An 8,147-nucleotide genomic window follows, 5' to 3' on the forward strand; every position below is an offset into this window, starting at 1 on the left:
TAAGCAAACTAATACAGCAGCAGAAAACCACATGTTCTCACTTATAAATGGGAGCTAAAAATTGAGTGCACATGACACGAAGAAAGGAACAATAGACCCCAGAGCCTACTTAAGGATGGAGGGTGGGAAGAGGATGAGGATTGAAAAACTACCTGCCGAGTACTGTGCTTACTACCTGGGTGATGAAATAATCTGTACACCAAACTCCCACAACAGGCAATTTACCCATGTAACAAACCTGCACATGTACCCACTGAGCCTAAAATAAAAGTTGGAAAGAAAAAAAAATGACCTTACAATGGCCTCTAAGTATTCAACTGAAAGGAAAAGTTGCACAGCTCTCAATTTAAATCAAAAGCTAGAAATAAAATAAGCTTAGTGAGTAAGGCATGCCAAAAAGCTGAGACAGGCTGAAAGCTAAGCCTCTTATACTAGACTTGTGAGTACAAGTTAGCCAAGTTGTGAGTACAAAGGAAACGTTCTTAAAGGAAATTAAAAGTGCTACTTCGGTGAACACAGGAATGATGAAGTGAAACAGCCTTATTGCTGATATTAAGAAAGTTTGCTTAGTGTGGGTAGATCAAACCAGCCACAACATTCCCTTAAACTAAAGTTGAATCCAGAGTGAGACCCTAACTTTCTTCAATTCTATGAAAGCTGAGAGGGGTGAGGAAGCTACAGAAGAAAAGTTGGAAACTAGCAGAGGTTGGTTCTTGGGATTTAAGGAAAGAAGCCATCTTCACAACATAAAAGTGCAAGATGAAGCAGCAAGTGCTGATGTAGAAGACGTAGCACATTATCCAGAAAATCCAGCTAAGATTATTGATGAAAGTAGCTACATTAAACAACAGATTTTATGTTGGATTCAGCAGCACACATACTGAAACTGGAATGATACAGAAAAAATTAGCATAGCCCCTGCTAAATGATGGCATGCAAATTCATGAAGTATTTCATATTTTTAGCTATAAAGATACTAGAGGCAAGCCTAGGAAAGACTCTTCTAGACATCGGTCTGGGTAGAAAATTCATGACCAGGATCTCAAAAGCAAAACAACAAAAACCAAGATAGTCAGATGGTACTTGATTAAGAAGCTTCTGCACAGCAAAAGAACCAATCAACAGAGTGAACAGACAGCCTACAGAATGGGAGAGGATGTTTGTAAACTATGCATCTGACAGGAAACTAATATCCAGAATTTACAAGGAACTCAAACAACTCAACAACAAACAGATGACCCCGTTAAAGAGTGGCCAGAAGATACTAATAGATATTTTTCAAAAGCAGCATAATTTTTATACATTTGTTGGCTATTTGTATAAAAATCTATTGAAAAATAGAAAATTTTCAAATTTTTATTTTCAATAGATATGTTTCATACAAATAGCTAACAAGCATATAAAAATGCTTAACGTTGTTAATCATCAGAGGAATTTAAATTAATGCCACAGTGGGATGTCATCTTATACCAGTTAGAATGGCTATTATATGAAAAGACAAAAAGTAACAAATGTGGTTGAGGAGGCAGAGAAAAGGGAAGGCTTGTGCACTGTTGATGAGACTATAAATTGGCATAACCTCTATTTAAAACACATGAGGATTTATCAAAGAACCAAAAATGGAGCTGCTGTTTGATCTAGCAATCACACTGCTGGGTATCTACCCAAAGGAAAAGAAATAATTATACCTATCAATAAGATTACTGCACTCATATGTTTATTGCAGCACTATTCATAACAGCAGAGATTTGGATTCAACCTAAGTGTCTATCAGAGGAGGATTGGATAAAGACAATGCATATACACACAATAGAATAATATTTGACCATTAAAAATAATTAAACCATGTCTTTGAAGCAACATGGATGGAACTGGAAGCCATTATCTTAAGTGAAACAACTCAGAAGCAGAAAGAAAAAAAATACTGTATGGTCTCACTTATAAGTGCAAACTAAACAATGTATACATGTGGATGTAATGTATGACTTGGAGACTCAGATGAGTGGGGATGGGAAGAGGGGTGGATGATGGGAATTACCCGATGGGTCCAATGTACATTATTTGGATAGTGGATACACTAAACACCCAGACTTCACAACCAGACAATATAGCCATATAACAAAATTGCACTTGTATCCCTTAAATTTATACAAAACAGGCCAGGCAAGGTGCACTTTGGGAGGCAGAGGCGGGTGAATCACCTGAGATCAGGAGTTCGAGACCACCCTGGCTCACATGACAAAACCCTGTCTCTACTAAAAATACAAATATTAGCTGGGCATGGTGGCACACACCTGTAATCCCAGCTACTCGGGAGGCTGAGGCAGAAGAATCGCTTGAACCAGGGAGGTGGAGGTCACAGTGAGCTGAGATTGTGCCATTGCACTCCAGCCTGGGCAACATGAGCAAAACTCCATCTCAAAAAAATACATATACAAAACAAATGAACGATTTTCAGTGGAGACAAAAAAGGCTTCTATTAGAAGAAGATGCCACCTAGAATTTTCATAGGTAGAGAGAAGTCAATACTTGACTTCAAAGCTTCAAAAGACAAGCCAACTCTCTTTTAGGGGTTAATGAAGCTGATGTCTAGAAGTTGAAGCCAATGCTCATTTACTCAAAAATCCTAGAGCCCCTAAGAATTAATTATGCAAAGTTTACTCTGACTCTGCTCTATATATGGAACAATAAATCCTAAATGACAGTACATTAGTTTATAGCATCATTTACTGAATATTTTAAGCTTATGATTGAGACTTATTGCTAAGAAAAAGAGATTCCTTTCAAAATATTAATGCTGCTTGACAATGCACCTAGTCACCTAAAGTACTGATGGAGATGTACAAAGAGATGAATATGGTTTTCATGCCTACTAACACATCTATCCTGTAGCCCATAGATAAAGGAGTAATTTTGACTTTCGGGTCTTCTTATTTAAGAAATATATTTTGTAAACTATAGCTGCCATAGACAGTAATTTCTCTGATGAATCTGACCTAAGTAAACTGAAAATCTTCTGGAAGGTATTCACCATTCTAGATGTCATTAAGAAAATTCATGATTATGTCAGGAGTCCAAAATACCAACATTAACAAAAGTTTGGAAGAAGTTTATTCCAACTCTTATGGATTACTTTCAGAAGTTTAAGACTTCAGTGAAGTAAGTAACTGCAGATGTGGTAGAAATTAAAAGCGAACTAGACTTAGAAGCGGAGACTGAAGTTGTTACTGAACTAAAATCTCATGATAAAACTTGAATGGATGAGGAGTTGTTTCCTATGGATGAGCAAGAAAGTGGTTTCTTGAGATCAAATCTACTCCGGGTCAAGATGCTGTGAACATTGTTGAAATGACCACAAAGGATTTAAAATATTACATAAATTTAGTTGATAAAGCAAACTGTAGGGTTTGAGAGGATTAATTCCAATTTGGAAAGAGGTTTTATTATGGGTAAAATGCAATCAAACATCACATGCTACAGAGAAATCCTTCTGCAAGGAAGAGTCAATTGATGCGACAAACTTCATTTTTGTTTCATTTCAAGAAATTGGCACAGCCATTCAAACCTTCATCAACCACCACCCTCGTCAGTCAGCAGCCATTAATATCAAAGCAAGACCCTCCACCAGCAAAATGATTATGACTTGCTGAAGGCTCAAATGATCATTAGCATTTTTATCAATAAATAATTCTTAAATTTAGATATGTACTTTGCTTTTTTAAACCTAATTCTATTGTACACTTAATAAATTATGGTATAATATAAACATAACTTTTATATATACTAGGAACCAAAAAAATTGTGTGACTTATTTGTGATATTTGCTTTATTGTGGTAGCCTGATCTAAACCAGCAATATCTTTTAGGCATGCCTTTAAAAGGGACTTGACAGCCTGTGGATTTTGGTATGCTCAGAGAGTCCTAGAAAAAATCCAATGAATACCAATCCAATGAGTTTAATCCCATGAATTCAAGGGACAACTAAACAAAAATCAACTCAAACTGGATAAAATACTTAAATGTAAGACTAGTTATTTTAAAGCTGTTAGGAGAAAACATGTGGGAAAAGCTCCATGACATTAATCTGGGCAATGATTTCTTGAGAAGTATTCCAGAAGCAAATGTAACAAAAGTAAAAATAGATATATAAGATTACATCACACTAAAGAGTTTCTGCATGATAAAGAAAACATTGTGGAAGTCAGTGTGGAGATTCCTCAGGGATCTAGAACTAGAAATACCATTTGACCCAGCCATCCCATTACTGGGTATATACCCAAAGGACTATAAATCATGCTGCTATAAAGACACATGCACACGTATGTTTATTGTGGCACTATTCACAATAGCAAAGACTTGGAACCAACCCAAATGTCCAACAATGATAGACTGGATTAAGAAAATGTGGTACATATACACCATGGAATACTATGCAGCCATAAAAAATGATGAGTTCATGTCCTTTGTAGGGTCATGGATGAAATTGGAAACCATCATTCTCAGTAAACTAAACTATCGCAAGAACAAAAAACCAAACACCGCATGTTCTCAGTCATAGGTGGGAATTGAACAATGAGAACACATGGACACAGGAAGGGGAACATCAGACTCTGGGGACTGTTGTGGGGTGGGGGGAGAGGGGAGGGATAGCATTAGGAGATATACCTAATGCTAAATGACGAGTTAATGAGTGCAGCACACCAGCATGGCACATGTATACATATGTAACCTGCACATTATGCACATGTACCCTAAAACTTAAAGTATAATAATAATAAAATTAAAAAAAATAAAAAATAAAGAAAACATTCATTTTGTAAAGTCAAAAAAAAAAACACATAGTGAAGAGACAACCCGTAGACTGGGAAAAGATATTTTCAAAGCATACATCTGATAAGGGGTTAATATTCAAAATATATAAGCAACTCAATAGCAAGGAAAAAGATAACCTGATTAAAAATTGAGCAAAGTATCTGAACAGACATTTCTCAAAAAAAGATACAATCACCAATAGATATATTTAAAAACATTCAACATCTCTTATCATCAGAGAAATGCTAATTAAAACCACAATGAGATATTGTGGTTTTACCACATACCTGCTAGAATGGCTATTATTAAAAAGACAGATGATAACAAGTGTTAGTGAGGGTATGAAAAAAAAAGAACTCTTGTATAATGTTGATGGGCATGGAAATTAGCATAGCCATTTTGGAAAATAGTATAGAATTTCTTCAAAAAACTAAAAATACAATTACATGTGATGCAGCAATCCCACTTCTGGGCATATATCTGAAGACATTGAAATCAATATGTCAAAGGGATAACTACACCCACATGTTCATTTCAGCATGATTCACAATAGCCGATATACTAAAACAACCAAAGTGTCCATCAATGAATGAATAAAGAAAATGTAGTATATATACACAATTGAATATTACACAGCCTTAAAAACACAATAAAATTCTGTCATTCATGATGACATAAATAGAACTGGAAGATAGTATGCTAAGGGAAATAAACCAGGCACTGAGGGACAAATTCTGTATCATTTTCCTTATATGCGGAATCTAAAAAAGTCAATCTCATAGACGCAGAGTAGAAAAGTGATTACCAGAAGATGGGGGAACGTGGAAGGGATGCAGAAAGAAAAGATGCTAATGAAAGAGTACAAAGTTTCAGACTAGAGATATAAGTTTTATTGATTCATTACACTTCTTGGTAACCACAGTTAATATATTTTATATTTCAAAATTGCTAAAAGAATAGATTTTTAACATTCTTACATAAAAAATGATAAATTTGTGAGGTGATGGATATGTTAATTTGCTTGATTGAATCTTTTAATAATGTATACATAGATTAAAGCATTATGTTGTACTCCATAAATATATACAATTGTTATTAGTTGATTAAAAATAAAATATAAAAAACTGAACCAAGCTAAGACAAAATATATAAACAAAATTTTCTTCAAAGCAGGAAAAAACTTCATTGAAACATATATACACATATACACCAAGGAAACATTGAAATATTTACTTCCTAAGTTATCCTTTTAATTTAGATAATAAACCCTTAACAGTAATAAAGTGCTTATTTAAACTCAGGAAAGTGGCACTTAAACTTAGGAAATTATTTGTCACTCTTTCAGTTTTTGAATGAGTACAGAGAATAAATTTATTGTCAATCAAATGTGTTTTGCATTGTAATAATATAGTTATCTTACACCATAATGTGCTGAAGAAAATATTGAGAATGACTGTCAGAATATTTTATAGAAGTCTAGGATTTTGAAGGATTTCTGAATTCAAATCCCAAACCTTGCAACTGGCCATGTAGTATTAACTAAACATTACTGACTCTCAGTATAAAAGTGAAAACTGGAGAGGAGCCAAGATGGCTGAATAGGAAGAGCTCCGGCCTACAGCTCCCAGCGTGAGCGACGCAGAAGATGGGTGATTTCTGCATTTCCATCTGAGGTACCAGGTTCATCTCACTTGGGAGTGCCAGACAGTGGGCACAGGTCAGTGGGTGCGCGCACCCTGTGCGAGCCGAAGCAGGGCGAGGCATTGCCTCACTAGGGAAGCGCAAGGGGTCAGGGAGTTCCCTTTCCGAGTCAAAGAAAGGGGTGACTGACGCACCTGGAAAATCGGGTCACTCCCACCCGAATACTGCGCTTTTCCGACCAGCTTAAAAAACGGCACACCACGAGATTGTATCCCGCACCTGGCTTGGAGGGTCCTACGCCCACGGAGTCCTCTCGCTGATTGCTAGCACAGCAGTCTGAGATCAAACTGCAATGCGGCAGCCAGGCTGGGGGAGGGGCGCCCGCCATTGCCCAGGCTTGCTTAGGTAAACAAAGCAGCGGGGAAGCTCGAACTGGGTGGAGCCCACCACAGCTAAAGGAGGCCTGCCGGCCTCTATAGGCTCCACCTCTGGGGGCAGGGCACAGACAAACAAAAAGACAGCAGTAACCTCTGCAGACTTAAATGTCCCTGTCTGACAGCTTTGAAGAGAGCAGTGGTTCTCCCAGCACACAGCTGGAGATCTGAGAATGGGCAGACTGCCTCCTCAAGTGGGTCCCTGACCCCCAAGCAGCCTACCTGGGAGGCACCCCCCAGCAAGGGCACACTGACACCTCACACGGCCAGGTACTCCAACAGACCTGCAGCTGAGGGTCCTGTCTGTTAGAAGGAAAACTAACAAACAGAAAGGACATCCACACCAAAAACCCATCTGTACATCACCATCATCAAAGACCAAAAGTAGATAAAACCACAAAGATGGGGAAAAAACAGAACAGAAAAACTGCAAACTCTAAAAAATAGAGCGCCTCTCCTCCTCCAAAGGAACGCAGTTCCTCACCAGCAACGGAACAAAGCTGGATGGAGAATGACTTTGACGAGCTGAGAGAAGAAGGCTTCAGACGATCAAATTACTCTGAGCTACGGGAGGACATTCAAACCAAAGGCAAAGAAGTTGAAAACTTTGAAAAAAATTTAGAAGAATATATAACTAGAATAACCAATACAGAGAAGTGCTTAAAGGAGCTGATGGAGCTGAAAACCAAGGCTCGAGAACTACGTGAAGAATGCAGAAGCCTCAGGAGCTGATGTGATCAACTGGAAGAAAGGGTATCAGCGATGGAAGATGAAATGAATGAAATGAAGCGAGAAGGGAAGTTTAGAGAAAAAAGAATAAAAAGAAATGAGAAAGCCTCCAAGAAATATGGGACTATGTGAAAAGACCAAATCTACGTCTGATTAGGGTACCTGAAAGCAATGGGGAGAATGGAACCAAGTTAGAAAAAACTCTGCAGGATATTATCCAGGAGAACTTCCCCAATCTAGCAAGGCAGGCCAACGTTCAGATTCAGGAAATACAGAGAACACCACAAAGATATTCCTCGAGAAGAGCAACTCCAAGACACATAATTGTCAGATTCACCAAAGTTGAAATGAAGGAAAAAATGTTAAGGGCAGCCAGAGAGAAAGGTCGGGTTACCCTCAAAGGGAAGCCCATCAGACTAACAGCGGATCTCTCGGCAGAAACCCTGCAAGCCAGAAGAGAGTGGGGGCCAATATTCAACATTCTTAAAGAAAAGAATTTTCAACCCAGAATTTCATATCCAGCCAAACTAA

The 8,147-nt window shown here is 37.7% G+C and overlaps 1 pseudogene, besides 2 other annotated features; it reads left to right on the top strand.

The window, feature by feature from the left end:
- RNU6-289P (RNA, U6 small nuclear 289, pseudogene) lies at positions 857 to 963 on the top strand (annotated as a pseudogene).
- Positions 6,098 to 6,693: an enhancer, noted in NCBI's record as "NANOG-H3K27ac-H3K4me1 hESC enhancer chr4:112257809-112258404 (GRCh37/hg19 assembly coordinates)". NCBI's record gives its function as "activates a minimal SCP1, AML or CMV promoter by ChIP-STARR-seq in naive H9 embryonic stem cells {active_cell/tissue: H9 hESC(naive)}" and the evidence as "EXISTENCE:reporter gene assay evidence [ECO:0000049][PMID:30033119]".
- Positions 6,694 to 7,289: an enhancer, noted in NCBI's record as "NANOG-H3K27ac-H3K4me1 hESC enhancer chr4:112258405-112259000 (GRCh37/hg19 assembly coordinates)". NCBI's record gives its function as "activates a minimal SCP1, AML or CMV promoter by ChIP-STARR-seq in naive and primed H9 embryonic stem cells {active_cell/tissue: H9 hESC(naive and primed)}" and the evidence as "EXISTENCE:reporter gene assay evidence [ECO:0000049][PMID:30033119]".

The sequence above is a fragment of the Homo sapiens genome, chromosome 4, assembly GCF_000001405.40.
Source record: "Homo sapiens chromosome 4, GRCh38.p14 Primary Assembly".
Lineage (NCBI taxonomy): Eukaryota > Metazoa > Chordata > Mammalia > Primates > Hominidae > Homo > Homo sapiens.